Consider the following 20,550-nt stretch of genomic DNA (forward strand, 5'->3'; position numbering starts at 1 on the left):
TCAGCACAGTACAAGCAGTCTGCTACACATAGTGTCAGAGGAGTGAGCCCCAGGTTCAACAGCACCACCTCCCTCCCAGCTAGACAGTGGAATGAAAGTAAAGGCCATGGTTCACACACACACACACACACACACACACACAAACACACACTTACTCAGCATTACTAATAGAGATTATTGCCAACGAGCAATAATTTTTTTCATAATAAGGATATTTGTACCTTTTGTTTCAGTTGGTAAAGAAGGCCTCAAAAATCTCTTGGTTATGAATAATAAGAAAATGCCATTAATGTCTTCAGTGCCTGTGCATACCCTTCTAAATATCCACTTTGAAACCAGTTATTGTCCACTGCTCCATATCCTTACTCTCAGTACAGCTCAGTCAGCAAGTTCTATAAATGTTGCAACCTTTTCTTCTCCCAGTTTCTTTTTACTGCCCAAGTTCTCATTTGAGACCTTATGATTGTTCATCAGAATCTCTGTAACGGCCACATAACTGATATATCTAATTTACTCACACATATACAACTCCCAAATTAGTCCTCTAGTACCAATTATGTTGTCATTTCCAGAAAGATAGACCACTCCCCTATCTTACCGTAATAGCCCAAAGAATATGTTATTGCAAGCAACAGAATTGCAGTTGGGCTAACTTAAGCAAAAAGTAAGTTTACTGAAAGGATATTGGATTGCTCCAAAATTCAGAAGTAAGGCTAAGAACCCAAACCAAGGACATGAGCAGGAAGCAAGTGAGGTTGACAACATTCAAGGGTAAGACTGGCTAATACCACTGCCTTCAAGTAATAGCTTTGGAAGCTGAGCTATCTACCCCTCTGACATCACTATGAATAATCTCGAATACTCCCTATGCCATTCCTCTGAAATTGAAAGTGCTGGTTGGAGCATACCACTTCCAATCCCAAGTCGTATTTCCACACTTCAAAGTCACATTAAGTTACTCTATCATCTTTATTTACACAACATGCATCTCTGGATGATAGCAATTCTTATTCTCATTGTATCAGAATTAAGCTTGAAAATTCTGCAACATTTGTGCCAAATTATAATATTAACCAGCAACAATAAACCCTCCATGTATACTTTCGTGTTGTATAATATAGAGCAAATGGAAGGGAAATTAATCAAAATACATAAATTCATACAAGTTATAAAGAGGAGAAAAATGCTAAGTGGTTAATTGCCTACTAAATAAGTTTCTTATTCTTTAGTACACCTACTGACTTGTCTGTCTCTGTCTATAAAATGATCCCATCAAACAGGATCATTTGTCTTTCTCAAGTCATTACCCTTATCCCCTCATCTCCATGATTTTAGTCCTACCACTTCTCTGGCTGAGAAAGCACAGCCCTTTATCTCCTCTTGTGTAAATCCTCCTCCAATTTCAGGGGCAGAGCGAAAGCTGCTTTCTTCATGAATTTATCCTTAATCCTCCCCACAGGAAACCACGCTCTGAGATTGTCTTAGTCTTAACTTTGCAGTTCTTCTATAGTATATCTTATAAGGTATTGTTGATATCTGTAGCTTTTTCTCTGTCATTTTTAGTTCCTCCTCATTGAAAAATCCACATTGTCGTTTTTTTTTTTTTTTTTGATTTGGCAAGAATGAGTGATCTTTAACTTCAAAGTTGATTGAGAAAAATGTAAAATAAATTTCAAGTCAATATATAACATAGAGTAGGTATGTATTGTATGTAATATAACAATTGTAGATAAATTATTTAAAACTTGGTTTTAATACAAGTGTCATTTTTATGATTTTGGTTCAGTTAGTGATTCATAAGGCCTCGTTTTAAAATGAATAGTGATAAATGTATAAAAGCCGAAAGGAAATGATTATCAGGCAATCCTGATTCACTTATTGGATTATAGAATATTATTAGATTTTAAATCTATTATTGTGGGTCATGAAGTCCTTACTGTTTGTCAAAAGATGGGTTAATTCCTTTTTGCTCCTAGAAGGGATATTAGATTTGAAGGCAAAAACATTAGAGCCAGAAAATGCCATTAAATGCTAATACCAGGCAGGCTTAAGGGAGTAAAACCTGGATTCCCTGCTTGTCAGCCTTTGGAGGAGTCTGCCTGTTATACTAGGAGCTGGTTCTTACTTGGTTGCCTGCTGATCATCAGGCTGGAAGGAATTTTGTTGAATTAGGAGGAGGAACTCCAAATGACAACCATGGAAAAATCACTCTCAGTGTGAACTATATTCCATTAGCTTGAATTTCACAAGTGTCTCATCCAGAACTCAAAGATAAAACACAAATCACTGTCCCAACACTCTGTCTTAAAGATGAAGCCTTTTACGTGAATGATGACGTTGGCCACATAAACACATATGCATTAATATATATGTAACATAACATATATATATATATAATAAAACATAACATGGTAACTTAGTCATTTCACAACCATATGGAAACAATAATCAATTCCTAAATTCCTGGTCACTTTTGGAAATTATAACCTTTGCTGACTCTTATTTTCACTCAGAAAAGCTCAGCATCCAAATGTTTTACCAGGCCAAGTATGTCAGAGAGGTTCTGTGGGCTTTTCACAGCCAGGGTCAGTCTGGCCCTGTTTTGTTCTCTTGGGCTATGAGAGGCTACATTTATTAAGATTTTTCTGATTCCCTGGAACACATATGTTGTTTGCTGGAAAGCGTCCAGACTTTATAAAAACAAGTTCATTTGTTGCCTAAGAAATAGGAGAATGCAACACTGTTTTACTTAATAGTCTAAGTTTTAAGAAAAGATTTTTTTTCAAATAGAAAAACAAGAGACTTTCCCAGAATGACCAGTTTTTGTTTTGTTTGTTTTGCAGTAGCATCTTATTGATGTGTAAGAATATTTCACCCAGAAAGGACCAGTTGCTATTTGTAGAAATAGCTGAAAATGAGGGCCTGGGTGGGATTCATGGTTCAACAAACAGTGACTGTGTATACATATATGAGTTTTCATTTTTCACCAATGTAAAGTTGCTCAAAATAGAAAGCATGGGATTAGAGAAATAACCAGCTTCCAGGTACAGTGGCTCATGCCTGTAATTCCAGCACTTTGGAAGGCTGAGGCAGATGTAACACCTGAGGTCAGGTGTTTGAGACCACCCTGGCCAACATGGTGAAGTCCCGTCTCTACTAAAAATACAAAAATTAGCTAAATGTGGTGGCGCATGCCTGTAATCTCAACTACTTGGGAAGATGAGGCAGAAGAATTGCTTGAACCCAGGAGGCGGAGGTTGCAGTGAGCTGAGATCATGTCACTGCACTCCAGCCTGGGGGACAGAAAAGAGTTGACAAGCTCATGGCTGGGTTTTTTTTTTTTCACAGTACACATGACTAAGCAATTTAAAGACCAGTCCAAGAAGCAAAATATCAAAACCTTGTGTTTTGCCCTTCCTTCCTCTTCTGATGGTAATGTAACTCATGTTATGCTGGTGACATGTGCGCCCTGTCGGTTTCCATATATACATCTTTTAGCTTACATCTTCGTACTTGAGCCATCCAGTTCTGACCAACAATCTCCAAGAACACGTGTTATATAATGGGACGAGATAACCCAACACAACTTAATCTAATCACATTTAGTTGTTTCTATTAGGAAGGCAGAAATTCATGTAAACCTCTTTCTTTTATAAAATAATGATACAGTCGTATACAATACTCTAAAGTTTAGGTTAAGCTACTCATTCACATTCCTCAAAAGTTACTCTTCCGTTAAACATAGCTATGTTTGTCTTTGTCTTCAGTGCTGATCACTGTTAACTGGAAGTTATGGTATCACAGCCACTTGTTCTATTTGATTGCATCATAAAGTAGTTGAGATATTGCACCTGGAAGGTCTCTAATAGACAATTGTAGAATAATATCTGAGTCTTGAGTGGTCTTCTCTAATGCCCATGTCACTAAATGATTTGTCTCTCATTTGACCTTTCTAAGACAGATAAAACTGTTGTTCCCAAAGTGCATGTGAAATTTGACACTTCCTTCACTGATAGATTGTCTAAAACTCCTAGAATTTTTTTATTGTATATATTTACGGTATGTGATGAGAGATGGCTTCTAACTTACCATTCTCAGCCTTTTATACTAAGAGAAAGATCTGATTATGTTTTGGTACCAAAGCACCTGCTCATAATTTCTGTGAGTAACAGCTTTCCACTCATAGGACCGATGATGATTTTCTCTTTCTCAGCCCTATATCAGCTAGCCAAGAATATAATGCATATCCTATCATCTGATATATTCATTATTTCCTCTGTAATTTTAGGGTTTTATGGGGAAGAACGTGAGTATAGGTGAGTCTGAATCAGGTGTCAGTTTGTTGAATACCAACCAAAAACGGTAGACTTAACCCTGTAAGGCGTTGGAGAACCATTTTTGAGCAGAGTTCTTCCTTTGGGAAATGTGTGCTGGAAGAAATGTGAACATTGAATTAAAAGAGGAATGTATTTAATAATACTGGGCCTAAAGTTAGAAGTCAGGAGTTGAGGATTTGGGGAATGCTTTAGCTATTAAATAAACTTTGCAGTCAATATGAGCTAGAGCTATCAGTGAGCAACAGCGTTAAATTAGGCCAAGTACACAACCTCGTCCAACATTGCATATAATTGTGGCCACACTAACACTGATATGTCAGACTGGGAACTATAGCACCGTATGGAAATGATTAAACAGGAATGAATCTGTAATCCACAGGGGACCTTCTGGGTTGCAGGCCTTATGGCAGGAAAAAAATGGCCAGCAACCACACTCCTTTTTTATATTTTTAATATATTCTATCACTTTTACCTATGTTTTAGATTATTGGGGGTTATACGAAGGCAGCAAATTCATCATGTATGCAATTTCAGCCATTTGCAGTGGTATCACTATTTTTGGTTATGGAGGAATTCTTTATAATCCTGGCAAATATTGATATTGGGTAAAAGCGATAACTCTTTTGGGGCCTCTTAAGACGTTCTGTTTCTTCAGATCTTATTTTCTTTCAAGTCTGCAGCCTCTGTATGTGCTGGAGGAAAGGAAGAACTCTGATAATAGGGTTTTCACTTTTCCACCTCAATCTCATGTTTCCTCTGAATGACATCGCCCATCATCCACTGCCCAGCTATCTTCTCCAAAACTCCTCTTTTATTAGTGAGTAGCTTCCTGCTTTCAGGTAACCTGCCTCTGGATGTGTGTACATGCATGCACACATATTTATACAAATCACGTATACATACATAAGTGCATTTATGTTGTGTTAAGTCTGAATTTTTTCCAGCTCCCTCTTATGTTAATTTTATTTAGCTTTGGCCTCGACTAGCTGCAGTTAATCACTTTGAAAATAGTTATCATTTTGTGCTTGGCATCTCTTCTCAGGTACTTGTTAGCTTCCATATTGGACATAAGTTCTGGAAAATTCTCCATTTTCTTCACTCTTGTCTCTCTGTCTGGCTTTTGACATTTGGTCATGGCCAAACAAGCCTTCCTGATTCCTTATACTACACACACTCTGTGTACTTTCCCACGCATGCCAGGACTCTCTGAGTCTTTAGTCAAATAGAGGTCAAATAGAGGTCATGTTCCATCTTTCTAGGAATATTTAAGCTGTTAAATATATGGAAATGAAATAAGATCAAATTATTCTTTTCTCTTTCCCTATTACAGAGGATGATTTTTTAAAGTAAAAAAGAAATTAATATTTGTATACTTTATGAAGGGCTCTTATGGAGACATAAGCACAAAGTTATAATTCACAATAACCTCAAAACAAGAGTACTTATAATTGCAGCTACTAAATTATAAGTTTCCTCCCTCATAGTTTTCTTGTAATCTTTATTTATTTATTTATTTATTTATTATTATACTTTAAGTTTTAGGGTACATGTGCACAATGTGCAGGTTAGTTACATATGTATACATGTGACATGCTGGTGCGCTGCACCCACTAACTCGTCATCTAGCATTAGGTATATCTCCCAATGCTATCCCTCCCCCCTCCCCCCACCCCACAACAGTCCCCAGAGTGTGACGTTCCCCTTCCTGTGTCCATGTGTTCTCATTGTTCAATTCCCACCTATGAATGAGAATATGTGGTGTTTGGTATTTTGTTCTTGTGACAGTTTACTGAGAATGATGATTTCCAATTTCATCCATGTCCCTACAAAGGACATGAACTCATCATTTTTTATGGCTGCATAGTATTCCATGGTGTATATGTGCCACATTTTCTTAATCCAGTCTATCATTGTTGGACATTTGGGTTGGTTCCAAGTCTTTGCTATTGTGAATAATGCCGCAGTAAACATACGTGTGCATGTGTCTTTATAGCAGCATGATTTATAGTCCTTTGGGTATATACCCAGTAATGGGATGGCTGGGTCAAATGGTATTTCTAGTTCTAGATCCCTGAGGAATCGCCACACTGACTTCCACAATGGTTGAACTAGTTGACAGTCCCACCAACAGTGTAAAAGTGTTCCTATTTCTCCACATCCTCTCCAGCACCTGTTGTTTCCTGACTTTTTTAATGATTCCCATTCTAACTGGTGTGAAATGGTATCTCATTGTGGTTTTGATTTGCATTTCTCTGATGGCCAGTGATGGTGAGCATTTTTTTCATGTGTTTTTTGGCTGCATAAATGCCTTCTTTTGAGAAGTGTCTGTTCATGTCCTTTGCCCACTTTTTGATGGGGTTGTTTGTTTTTTTCTTGTAAATTTGTTTGAGTTCATTGTAGATCCTGGATATTAGCCCTTTGTCAGATGAGTAGGTTGCAAAAATTTTCTCCCATTCTGTAGGTTGCCTGTTCACTCTGATGGTAGTTTCTTTTGCTGTGCAGAAGCTCTTTAGTTTAATTAGATCCCATTTGCCAATTTTGTCTTTTGTTGCCATTGCTTTTGGTGTTTTAGACATGAAGTCCTTGCCCATGCCTATGTCCTGAATGGTATTGCCTAGGTTTTCTTCTAGGGTTTTTATGGTTTTAGGTCTAACGTTTAAGTCTTTAATCCATCTTGAATTGATTTTTGTATAAGGTGTAAGGAAGGGATCCAGTTTCAGCTTTCTACATATGGCTAGCCAGTTTTCCCAGCACCATTTATTAACTAGGGAATCCTTTCCCCATTGCTTGTTTTTGTCAGGTTTGTCAAAGATCAGATAGTTGTAGATATGCGGCATTATTTCTGAGGGCTCTGTTCTGTTCCATTGATCTATATCTCTGTTTTGGTACCAGTACCACGCTGTTTTGGTTACTGTAGCCTTGTAGTATAGTTTGAAGTCAGGTAGTGTGATGCCTCCAGCTTTGTTCTTTTGGCTCAGGATTGACTTGGCGATGCGGGCTCTTTTTTGGTTCCATATGAACTTTAAAGTAGTTTTTTCCAATTCTGTGAAGAAAGTCATTGGTAGCTTGATGGGGATGGCATTGAATCTGTAAATTACCTTGGGCAGTATGGCCATTTTCACGATATTGATTCTTCCTACCCATGAGCATGGAATGTTCTTCCATTTGTTTGTATCCTCTTTTATTTCCTTGAGCAGTGGTTTGTAGTTCTCCTTGAAGAGGTCCTTCACATCCCTTGTAAGTTGGATTCCTAGGTATTTTATTCTCTTTGAAGCAATTGTGAATGGGAGTTCACTCATGATTTGGCTCTCTGTTTGTCTGTTGTTGGTGTATAAGAATGCTTGTGATTTTTGTACATTGATTTTGTATCCTGAGACTTTGCTGAAGTTGCTTATCAGCTTAAGGAGATTTTGGGCTGAGACGATGGGGTTTTCTAGATATACAATCATGTCATCTGCAAACAGGGACAATTTGACTTCCTCCTTTCCTAATTGAATACCCTTTATTTCCTTCTCCTTCCTAATTGCCCTGGCCAGAACTTCCAACACTATGTTGAATAGGAGTGGTGAGAGAGGGCATCCCTGTCTTGTGCCAGTTTTCAAAGGGAATGCTTCCAGTTTTTGCCCATTCAGTATGATATTGGCTGTGGGTTTGTCGTAGATAGCTCTTATTATTTTGAGATACGTCCCATCAATACCTAATTTATTGAGAGTTTTTAGCATGAAGGGTTGTTGAATTTTGTCAAAGGCCTTTTCTGCATCTATTGAGATAATCATGTGGTTTTTGTCTTTGGTTCTGTTTATATGCTGGATTACATTTATTGATTTGCGTATATTGAACCAGCCTTGCATCCCAGGGATGAAGCCCACTTGATCATGGTGGATAAGCTTTTCGATGTGCTGCTGGATTCGGTTTGCCAGTATTTTATTGAGGATTTTTGCATCAATGTTCATCAAGGGTATTGGTCTAAAATTCTCTTTTTTGGTTGTGTCTCTGCCCGGCTTTGGTATCAGGATGATGCTGGCCTCATAAAATGAGTTAGGGAGGATTCCCTCTTTTTCTATTGATTGGAATAGTTTCAGAAGGAATGGTACCAGTTCCTCCTTGTACCTCTGGTAGAATTTGGCTGTGAATCCATCTAGTCCTGGACTCTTTTTGGTTGGTAAGCTATTGATTATTGCCACAATTTCAGCTCCTGTTATTGGTCTATTCAGAGATTCAACTTCTTCCTGGTTTAGTCTTGGGAGAGTGTGTGTGTCGAGGAATTTATGCATTTCTTCTAGATTTTCTAGTTTATTTGTGTAGAGGCGTTTGTAGTATTCTCTGATGGTAGTTTTTATATCTGTGGGATCGGTGGTGATATCCCCTTTATCATTTTTTATTGCGTCTATTTGATTCTTCTCTCTTTTTTTCTTTATTAGTCTTGCTAGCGGTCTATCAATTTTGTTGATCCTTTCAAAAAACCAGCTCCTGGATTCATTGATTTTTTGAAGGGTTTTTTGTGTCTCTATTTCCTTCAGTTCTGCTCTGATTTTGGTTATTTCTTGCCTTCTGTTAGCTTTTGAATGTGTTTGCTCTTGCTTTTCTAGTTCTTTTAATTGTGATGTTAGGATGTCAATTTTGGATCTTTTCTGCTTTCTCTTGTGGGCATTTAGTGCTATAAATTTCCCTCTACACACTGCTTTGAATGCGTCCCAGAGATTCTGGTATGTTGTGTCTTTGTTCTCGTAGGTTTCAAAGAACATCTTTATTTCTGCCTTCATTTCGTTATGTACCCAGTAGTCATTCAGGAGCAGGTTGGTCAGTTTCCATGTAGTTGAGCGGTTTTGAGTGAGTTTCTTAATCCTGAGTTCTAGTTTGATTGCACTGTGGTCTGAGAGATAGTTTGTTATAATTTCTGTTCTTTTACATTTGCTGAGGAGAGCTTTACTTCCAATTATGTGGTCAATTTTGGAATAGGTGTGGTGTGGTGCTGAAAAAAATGTATATTCTGTTGATTTGGGGTGGAGAGTTCTGTAGATGTCTATTAGGTCCACTTGGTGCAGAGCTGAGTTCAATTCCTGGGTATTGTTGTTGACTTTCTGTCTTGTTGATCTGTCTAATGTTGACAGTGGGGTGTTAAAGTCTCCCATTATTAATGTGTGGGAGTCTAAGTCTCTTTGTAGGTCACTCAGGACTTGCTTTATGAATCTGGGTGCTCCTGTATTGGGTGCATATATATTTAGGATAGTTAGCTCTTCTTGTTGAATTGATCCCTTTACCATTATGTAATGGCCTTCCTTGTCTCTTTTGATCTCTGTTGGTTTAAAGTCTGTTTTATCAGAGACTAGGATTGCAACCCCTGCCTTTTTTTGTTTTCCATTTGTTTGGTAGATCTTCCTCCATCCTTTTATTTTGTGCCTATGTGTGTCTCTGCTCGTGAGATGCGTTTCCTGAATACAGCACACTGATGGGTCTTGGCTCTTTATCCAATTTGCCGGTCTGTGTCTTTTAATTGGAGCATTTAGTCCATTTACATTTAAAGTTAATATTGTTATGTGTGAATTTGATCCTGTCATTATGATGTTAGCTGGTTATTTTGTTCGTTAGTTGATGTAGTTTCTTTCTAGTCTCGATGGTCTTTACATTTTGGCATGATTTTGCAGTGGCTGGTACCGGTTGTTCCTTTCTGTGTTTAGCGCTTCCTTCAGGAGCTCTTTTAGGGCAGGCCTGGTGGTGACAAAATCTCTCAACATTTGCTTGTCTGTAAAGTATTTTATTTCTCCTTCATTTATGAAGCTTAGTTTGGCTGGATATGAAATTCTGGGTTGAAAATTCTTTTCTTTAAGAATGTTGAATATTGGCCCCCACTCTCTTCTGGCTTGTAGAGTTTCTGCTGAGAGATCTGCTGTTATTCTGATGGGCTTCCCTTTGTAGGTAACCCGACCTTTCTTTCTGGCTGCCCTTAACATTTTTTCCTTCATTTCAACTTTGGTGAATCTGACAATTATGTGTCTTGGTGTTGCTCTTCTCGAGGAGTATCTTTGTGGCGTTCTCTGTATTTCCTGAATCTGAATGTTCGCCTGCCTTGCTAGATTGGGGAAGTTCTCCTGGATAATATCCTGCAGAGTGTTTTCCAACTTGGTTCCATTCTCCCTGTCACTTTCAGGTACACCAATCAGACGTAGATTTGGTCTTTTCACATAGTCCCATATTTCTTGGAGGCTTTGCTCGTTTCTTTTTATTCTTTTTCCTCTAAACTTCCCTTCTCGCTTCATTTCATTCATTTCATCTTCCATCGCTGATACCCTTTCTTCCAGTTGATCGCATCGGCTCCTGAGGCTTCTGCATTCTTCACGTAGTTTTCGAGCCTTGGTTTTCAGCTCCATCAGCTCCTTTAAGCACTTCTCTGTATTGGTTATTCTAGTTATACATTCTTCTAAATTTTTTTCAAAGTTTTCAACTTCTTTGCCTTTGGTGTGAATGTCCTCCCATAGCTCGGAATAATTTGATCGTCTGAAGCCTTCTTCTCTCAGCTCGTCAAAGTCATTCTCCATCCAGCTTTGTTCTGTTGCTGGTGAGGAACTGTGTTCCTTTGGAGGAGGAGAGGTGCTCTGCTTTTTAGAGTTTCCAGTTTTTCTGCTCTGTTTTTTCCCCATTTTTGTGGTTTTATCTACTTTTGGTCTTTGATGATGGTGATGTACAGATGGGTTTTTGGTGTGGATGTCCTTTCTGTTTGTTAGTTTTCCTTCTAACGGACAGGACCCTCAGCTGCAGGTCTGTTGGAGTACCCGGCCGTGTGAGGTGTCAATCTGCCCTTGCTGGTGGGTCCCTCCCAGTTAGGCTGCTCAGGGGTCAGGGGTCAGGGACCCACTTGAGGAAGCAGTCTGCCCGTTCTCAGATCTCTAGCTGTGTACTGGGAGAACCACTGCTCTCTTCAAAGCTGTCAGACAGGGACATTTAAGTTTGCAGAGGTTACTGCTGTCTTTTTGTTTGTCTGTGCCCTGCCCCCAGAGGTGGAGCCTACAGAGGCCCGCAGGCCTCCTTGAGCTGTGGTGGGCTCCACCCAGTTCCAGCTTCCTGGCTGCTTTGTTTACCTAAGCAAGCCTGGGCAATGGCAGGTGCCCCTCCCCCAGCCTCGCTGCCGCCTTGCAGTTTGATCTCAGACTGCTGCGTTAGCAATCAGCGAGACTCCGTGGGCCTAGGACACTCCGAGCCAGGTGTGGGATATAATCTCCTGGTGCTCCGTTTTTTAGGCCCGTCGGAAAAGCGCAGTATTTGGGTGGGAGTGACCCGATTTTCCAGGTGCCGTCTGTCACCACTTTCTTTGACTAGGAAAGGGAACTCCCTGACCCCTTGCTCTTCCCGAGTGAGGCAATGCCTCGCCCTGCTTCGGCTCGCGCACGGTGCATGCACCCACTGACCTGCGTCCACTGTCTGGCACTCCCTAGTGAGATGAACCCGGTACCTCAGATGGAAATGCAGAAATCACCCATCTTCTGCGTCACTCACGCTAGGAGCTGTAGACCGGAGCTGTTCCTATTTGGCCATCTTGGCTCCTCCCCTCTTTTGTAATCTTTTTGAATGCTGTTACTAAAATGCCTGCCAGAGACAGTTACCCATTTGTAACAGGTGCATTATATTTTACAATGAGCATTTTTACTGTCTATATCACTGCGTATGACAATGTTTGGCAACAACATAATTTCTGCACTTTAAAACTGAAGTTCTACTTGCATATCATTTTTTCCTTCAAAACAGACAATTTTCCTTTTCTCTAAACATATTAATCATAAAGGTAAAAATCCATCAGATTATCCTTGGGCACTTTAGGCTTTTATGGAACTTGTATGAAATTCTTGAGCACATTTCATTGAATTTCATTGCAAATTATCAGTGTGATGTAATTTTTATTCCTATAAGAAATATGTTTCTACTGCTGTGCAAACATTAAATGAACAATGAAACTTAACGTCTTGTGGGAGGGCAAAGAAACACCTACAATATCAGGAACTGGAACTGTCTGCATAGCACAAAGTGAAGTGGAGTATGGTAATCAGAGAGATGTCTTGGTTACTGGGAATGTCGAAGTTCCTAAATGCCAGGAATTGGAACTGTCTGCATAGCACAAAGTGAAGTGGAGTATGGTAATCAGAGAGATGTCTTGGTTACTAGGAATGTCAAAGTTCCGAAATGCCAGTTCCTAAATTCCTTATCCTAGGTGTTTTTTTTTTTTCTTAAATATTTTCCTTTCCTCTCTTTTAAGATCTAGTAGAAAACAAAAATGGCAGATTTATTCTTTTAAATATATATACATGTATATACAACATCATCTGCAAAAGTCCTTTATGTAAAATCACATAAAACTTCTGAAGCAATTGGTAAAGACCTGTAGGATGCATATGAAATGAATGACAGAGTTCTTTACTTAATTATAAGTTTATATTCAAATATATTCGAAAATTTTTTTTTAAAGACCTTTCCAATTTCTATATTGTTGATCTATGCTTTTACTATTTATGATTTATTCCATGGAAATAGTCAATGAAAGCATTCTTCAGTTCGTCCATTTTGATTATGTAACTCCATATTAATTATCAAGAAAAGTAAAATTACTATTTAAACCACTGATTTATTATTCATCAATGTCAGAAATATTGATTGAACACACATCTCATGCCATTTACTCTTTTGGGCATTAGGATGTCAGTGTATTCTCAAAGAGAGGTTAAAACCTGTCCAATATGATTTGGAGTGTCCAAGCTCTATTTGAAGTCACAATTTTGAGGAAAACCTGAGTAAAGACCTGGTGAAGTTGCTGTTGTAGTGATGCAATTACAATTTCCTGACAAAGCACAAGTATAGCTTTGATTGTGGGATTTTCTGTTGTTTCAGAATCCTTTTTCTCAAAACTAATTTGTACACTGATTCCCTAAATTCTAAAGCAACATTTCTTATTTACTCATGTATGTAGAGACGGAGTCTTGCTCTGTCGCCCAGGCTGGAATGCAATGGCGCAACCTCTGCTCACTGCAACCTCCACCTCCTGGGTTACAGTGATTCTGTCACCTCAGCCTTCCAAGTAGCTGGGATTACAGCCACCCACTACCATGCCTGTCTAATTTTTGTATTTTTAGTAGAGATAGGGTTTCACCACGCTGGCCAGGCTGATCTTGAACTGTTGACCTCAAGTCATCCGACCGCCTTGGCCTTCCAAAGTGCCAGGATTACAGGCATGAGCCACCGCGCCCAGTCTAAAGCAACATTTCTTAACCTGTTTTCTGCTGAAACCCATGCTAGCTGATGTTTATGTGCTTGTCACATTACTTGCACAATAAAGACAAGGGTAAACATTTTATTGTACATTTTAAGCGTTGGATTACTGAATATTAAAAGGGATTTGGAGAAATTAAAAAATTAAAAGTCTAAGAGAAAAGTATCACATACAATGTACAGACTGAAACATAGGTTCTAAGGGATATTGGTCCAAGATAGATAGATAGATAGATGGGTGGATAGATAGATAGATAGAAGATAGATAGCTCAATACCAACATTGGTATTTATGTATACCAGTATTAGTGTGTATAAATAAAGTATGTCTATATATATATATAGCTGTATATATAGCTGTGACTCCACACCCTTGTTCCTTACTGAAGGAAGCATATTTGGTGGCATGCAAGTGAATGAGAGTAACTTTATTGCTGGTACAGCCTTGAATCATCTCCAATATACAAAGAATAAATCAGTTGCAAACAATGGCATGAGATACGCTTTATTGCTGATTCCAACACACTTGAAACTTGGGATCCTTCTTTTGAGAAACACTCCCTAAAGCACATAAACTAAGCTTTCATATAAGTCTCTTTGTTCTTCTCACCCCAGCATTAGGTCTGTATAATACCCCTAATCAGATGTAGCTTGAAAACTGTTGACTTAACATAAAGAAACAAACAACCCTAAGATATATAATGAGTCATCTTGTCAAAATTAATCAACAGTTTTTTGGAATGTTTTTATTTTCTCATCTCTTTCCCTCCATCACAGTCATCAACGTTTCTGAGTGCCCATCTACATTTCTTTTGTACATCCCTTCATCCTTTCTGATGGTACTCTTTGGGGTATATGCGAATGACACTATCAACACAGAATGTGCTATTTTCGTTTGCTTTCCTGATCTAAGTTTTATTTTTGCTCTGAGCGTGTTTGGCTCTTCTACACAGTAATTGTCTCGCATAATGAACAACAACATGAATTCCCAAGGAAGCTAACTACTGTCAGGACCGACCTTATAACATTTCCCTTGCACGGTCACTGGCCTTACACCTCAATGCCATTGGTTTTAAGCAGCCTGACCAAGCAGCTCACTGGGCATAGTAAGAAATGGACCAATGTGCTTTATCAAGACACAGTACATTTATCAAAATGTTATGCATTTACTTGCTGAATTGCTACATTCTCAAATAAATTTGGAGAAATTAGAACATAGAAATTTTAAGAGAAAATCATCAAACATGAGGTGTTGGTTACAATGTAGGTTCTAAGGAATATTGGTGGTGATATATATATAATATATGTATATATACATATTTTATATACATGTATATATTATATATGTTATATATGTATATATACATATTTTATATATGTACATATTTTATATAATATATGTATATGTCTATATACATATTTTATATATGTATATATTTTATATAACATATATAGGTGGTTAGATATCTATCTATAGATCTATCTATAGATCTGTCCTATGCCTTTGCAGGGATGTTCCTGAGAGAATTTCTAAGAAATCTCTGATTTAGAGTGTGCCTTAAAGTCAGCTTCCCAGGGAACCTGGCTTATAACACTCTCCAAACATAAAAATGAATCTAGTTTAAATTAAATCTGCTCTGAACTGCTCCTCAGATTTTCATAAGACAGATCAATAAATAGTTAGATATCTCACCACCGGTATTTTATTTTATATAGCAAAATTAATACGTGTATATATACATTGTGTGTGTGTGTCTGTGTGTGTGTATGTGGATACTTTATATTCTACAGCAGTTTTAGGTTCACAGCAGAATTGAGAAGAAAATTTCCCATATACTCCCTGCCCCCACCCTCATAGTCTTCCCTGCTATTAACATTCTGCACCAGAGTGGAACATTTGTTACAATCAGTGAGATGAGCCTACTTTGGCACATTGTTGTCACCCAAAGTCCATAGTATACATTAAGTTTCACTCTTTGTGTTGAAAGTTCTGTGAACTTTGACAAACATATAATGACATGTATCCACCATTATAATATGACACATACAGTTAGTTTCACCGCCCTAAAAATCTCCTGTGCTCTACCTATTCATTCCTCCTTGCCCTACCTCCCACCCCATAATTCCTGGCAGATACTTTTCCTGTCTCCATAATTTTGCCTTTTCTAGAATGTCATATAGTCAAAATCAGACAGCATGTAGCCTTTTCACATTGGCTTCTTTCACTTAGTAACCTACATTTAAGGTAGTGCTGAGGTTTTTCAGAGTATTAAAAAGAGAACAATGAATGTTGTTCTTATTTTACAGAGTTAAAGGAATTGTATATTATTATCAGCTCCAATATCTAAAGAATAAATCAACTGCAAACTGCAAAATGAGATAAACTTTATGGTTGATTCCAACACACTTGAAATTTGCGATCCTCCTATGATAATTAGGTAAATCCATGGGTGAAACCCAAGAATAAATCCATTAACATTAACTTTCTTAACGGTGGCCACACTTACTTCTTTCTTTCCTTCCTTCCTTTTATTTTAGTTTTTTTTTTTTTTTTTTTTGACCAAGTTTTGCTCTTGTTGTCCAGGCTGGAGTGCAGTTGCACTATCTTGGCTCACTGCAACCTTCGCCTCCTCGGTTCAAGCGATAATCTTGCCTTAGCCTACTGAGTTGCTGGGATTACGGGCGTGTGCCACCACGCAGGCTAATTTTTGTATTTTTAGAAAAGACAGGGATTCACCGTGTTGACCAGGCTGGTCTTGAACTCCTCACCTCAGATGATCTGCCCACCTCAGCCTCCCAAACTGTTGGGATTACAGGCATGAGCCGCTATGCCCATCCGGCCACACTTCTTGAAGCATATATGTGGCAACTTGCATCCAAGTCAAAAGATAAAGATAGTACATCTTCCAGGAGTATTAGTTTTATTTGATTACTGAAAGGAAACCACTTATATCAAAAAGTATAGATTTATAGTAGAATACAGAATTTTCATTAGGTTAAAACAAGAGATAAAAGAAATACGGAGTGAATGAAGGACTGCCTCTTGGCTAAGAGACTACCTAGACTCTCTGTAGGAAGCAAAGTCATGTTCACCCTACATCAGAAATATTTCATTAGAAAATCTGAGGGGCAATTCAGAGGAGATTTAATTTAAACTAGATTCATTTTTATGTTTGGGGAGTGTTATAAGTCAGGTTCCCTGGGAAGCTGACTTTAAGGCAGACTCCAAATCAGAGATTTCTTAGAAATTCTCTCAGGAACATCCCTGCAAAGGAGGGGAGGAAACAGAACTGGACATCTGCCTGGTGGCAGGTGGGGTTTAGCTGTGATGCAGGTGCAATAAGAGGCTCAGCCGATACCACGGGGAGCTCTGGAGCTGCCATGGCTCTTCGTAGATGCCCTACATTGAGGCATAGGGCCTGGGCCATCTTATCTCCAACTCACCAGTCAATGAATGGAGCTGTTCCCAGGAGGAGGTGTAACTCTGGAGGGCAATTCCTGGGGCCTGACTCAACCATGAGCTGTCATCTGGCAACCTCCCAGGAGCTGGGGGAATGAACACCTTGATGTGGATGGAGAAAGCTGGGCAGTACAAGCCAGTATCTGTTATACGCAGGACAAGCCCAATGGCGACCTTGAAAAGAAGGGCCTAGAACAAGTGAGTTCTGAGTGCCATTCAGTAAAAAAAATTTCTGCTTTTAATGCAATGCCTACCTCCGAAAGGAGAAAATTTTATTTTTGCATATCCACTATAAGGAAAAATATAAAGACACACACACACACACACACACACACACACACACGCACGCACACACACACACACACACACACCATTCTGAATAGGAACTGGGAAACATAAAAGTCTTTGTTTTTGAATAGAGAACATTATTTTCCTCATTTTTTAAAAAGAAAAGGTTAATACTTAGCTAAGTCATAGATGTATTACTAAAGTTGGTTCTAGATTCTCGTTATATGCAAAGAATTTGCTAAATCTTTTCAACCTTTGGTGAGCTCATAAAGATGAAAGTTTTATGCATAAAATACTTAAAAAAAAAAAAAAAGAATTTCTGTACTTTAAGTGTGAGATTAATCTAATGGAAAGATTACAGAGAAACTATTTATTTGACCATGGTCCAGTACCAGAAGAGCTACATATAAAAGTATAAAGATTTAAATCCAATTTGCTTTCAAGGTTTGAATTTATAATTTGTACATTGGAACATTGCAATTTTATATGCTGCTGTGATCTCAGGCAGTTAGATTAAAACATGATAGCGATGTCTCCAAGTCATACATTTATCTCTCTCCTACTTAAATATACTTATTTCTACAAACATAGGCTCCCTAAGCACAGCCACATATATCTCAGATACATGGCTTTGGTCATAGGGTCAGAGTCTAAATACCTTCTAGATACATCTTCACTATTGGTTTAGTGAGGAGGGAGAGGGACTTTCACATCTCATTTTTTAAATGAATTTGCTATATCATCTTTACATATAACACAAATTATTCTCATACAACCCATAAATAAAAGTAGTTTAAAATGTCAAGAAAACAAACCATTCCTGTACTGGCCTCCATTGCTACTTGGCTCTATATTTTCCCTTAATATATTGATGAGTCCCTCGTTAACTAGCACAGAGACAATACAAAGTGTAAGAAGCATCCCACTAATCACCAATTAGTTCCGTTCTATATGTTCACATACATTCTCTGACCTTTAGAAACATGAGATAGTCAACACTCAACAGTCAGCCTCTGCTTTAAGTTTGACTTAATGTAGACCCAAACCTTTGCTGCAGAAACGTTTCATGTAACAAAAGTTTATTACACTAGCATTGAGTCTTTGGATATTTAAAATTTGTGGGCTTCAGTGTCTTCGTTTGTAAAATGAGTTGGTTGGGTTTGAAGCAGGTTATCTTCAGGATTCCTAATGCAACGTCTTAGATTACACTGTGATTTTATCTAGCTTTGGATATGACAGCACATGGCCTTTGACCTGTAACCAAGATTCAAGGACAGAGTGCAGTGTGACAAAACCATAGCGGATCTCTATTTCTGTGGCCCAACCCTGGCCAGGGTCTCAAGAGCCAGATTCCCTGGGTGGAGGCCACTAAGAGACAGTAAATAAATGATATCTGATATTGTAACAGTTCCCTTAAATTCTTAAACTGGGAGTGCATCTTTCCAAAGTTTTCAATTTACTGCATGAAAGTATCTTTTCACTCGAGCACAATCTGATTTAATAGTCCAATTGAAGGCATAGAAATAAAAATTTCTTCTTTAATTTGAAGGTGTCAGTTTTCATGTCAATGATGCTTTTTAAGAAATATTGTACTGATAAGAATGGCCATAATTAAAAAGTCAGAAAACAGTAGAAGTTGGTGCGGATGTGGTGAAATGGAACACTTTTACACTGCTGGTGGGAATGTAAATTAGTACAATCACTATGGAAAATAGTATGGAGATGCCTTAAAGAACTAAAAGTTGAACTACCATTTGATTCAGCAATCTCACTACTGGGTATCTACCCCACAAAAAAGTTATTATATGAAAAAGACACATCCTTATGCATGTTTATAGCAGCACAATTCACAGTTGCAAAGATATGGAACCAACCCAAATGCCCATCAATCAACAAGTTGATAAAGAAAATGTAGTACATATACTTCATGGAATGCTACTCAGCCATAAAAAGGAATGAAAAAATGTCTTTTGCAGCAACTAGGATGGAGCTGGAGGCCATTATTCTAAATGAAGTAAACCAGGAATGGAAAACTAAATATTGTATATTCTCATGTATAAATGGGAGCTAAGCTGTGAGGATGCAAATGCATAATAATGATATAATGGACTGTGGGGACTCAAGGGGAAAGATTGGGCATGTGGTGAGAAATAAAAGACTATATATCGGGTACAGTGTACACTGCTCAGGTGATGGGTGCACAAAAATCTCAGAAATCACCACTAAAGAACTTATTAATATAACCAAAAACCACCTGTTCCCCCCAAATTATTGAAATTAAAATAATTTTTTATGTTCCTGACATTATGATAAGGTATATTCTTGAATCAGGTTTGTAGGCATCATATTAATCCTAATTAGAAATTAATTTACTTCAATTAATAAAATTCATTTTATACAATAAGAAATGCAACCTGTAATGTCCCAACACTGGATGGAGGGAAACTCCCTAATGCCAAAATAACTTGACTTGCTCTCTTTTTTAGGTCCTGTCCCAGTGCAGCCATCACCCTGTGAAGCTGATCAGTTTTCTTGTATCTACACACTCCAATGTGTCCCTCTCTCAGGGAAATGTGATGGACATGAAGACTGCATAGATGGATCTGATGAAATGGATTGTCCTCTCAGCCCCACCCCTCCACTCTGTAGTAACATGGAGTTCCCGTGCTCTACAGACGAGTGTATACCTTCCCTCCTGCTATGCGATGGAGTGCCCGACTGCCACTTTAATGAAGATGAGCTCATCTGCTGTGAGTTATTTTCACTAACTCAATGTGTAAGGGAAGGCATGCTGCTTTAAAATGAGAAAGAAAGCTCGACAGATAAAATGAAGTTCTCTAGAGCCTTACCGTGATTGTATCATTAATAACACAGCTTTCAGTGTTATGTTGCAAAACAAGGCATCTGTCCTTTGCTTAGTGTTTCCAGCAACACCCCGTTTGTGGTCATGCTAATTTTTGTTAAACCTATCTTTTTCCTTTTCCATTTATATCTGAGTCATTCATATGGGAGATGCCGTTATGTGTTCTTATCTCATTAACGTGTTTATGGAAGTGGTGTGAGAAGTTCAGTTAGAATTTCTTCCTACCATAAAGGTTCATGAAAATGGCTCAAGTAAAGGGCATATTGATAGAGATTTCCTTTTTGATCAAGTGACAAATATTGATTTTAATGGGTATGTATAGTTAAGGATTGGATCTGGATAATTACCTGA

At 38.2% G+C, this 20,550-nt stretch overlaps 1 protein-coding gene across 9 annotated transcripts in view; it reads left to right on the forward strand.

Moving 5' to 3' along the window:
* MALRD1 (MAM and LDL receptor class A domain containing 1) overlaps positions 1-20,550 on the forward strand; it is a 687,552-nt gene that overhangs the window by 528,445 nt on the left and 138,557 nt on the right. For all 9 annotated transcript variants that reach the window (XM_011519453.3, XM_011519455.3, XM_011519454.2 and 6 more), the window contains one exon: positions 19,823-20,086. In XM_011519453.3, the coding sequence (XP_011517755.1) occupies positions 19,823-20,086 (264 nt within the window). The remainder of the gene's footprint in view (positions 1-19,822; positions 20,087-20,550) is intronic.

This window comes from Homo sapiens, chromosome 10 (assembly GCF_000001405.40).
Source record: "Homo sapiens chromosome 10, GRCh38.p14 Primary Assembly".
NCBI classification, from domain to species: domain Eukaryota; kingdom Metazoa; phylum Chordata; class Mammalia; order Primates; family Hominidae; genus Homo; species Homo sapiens.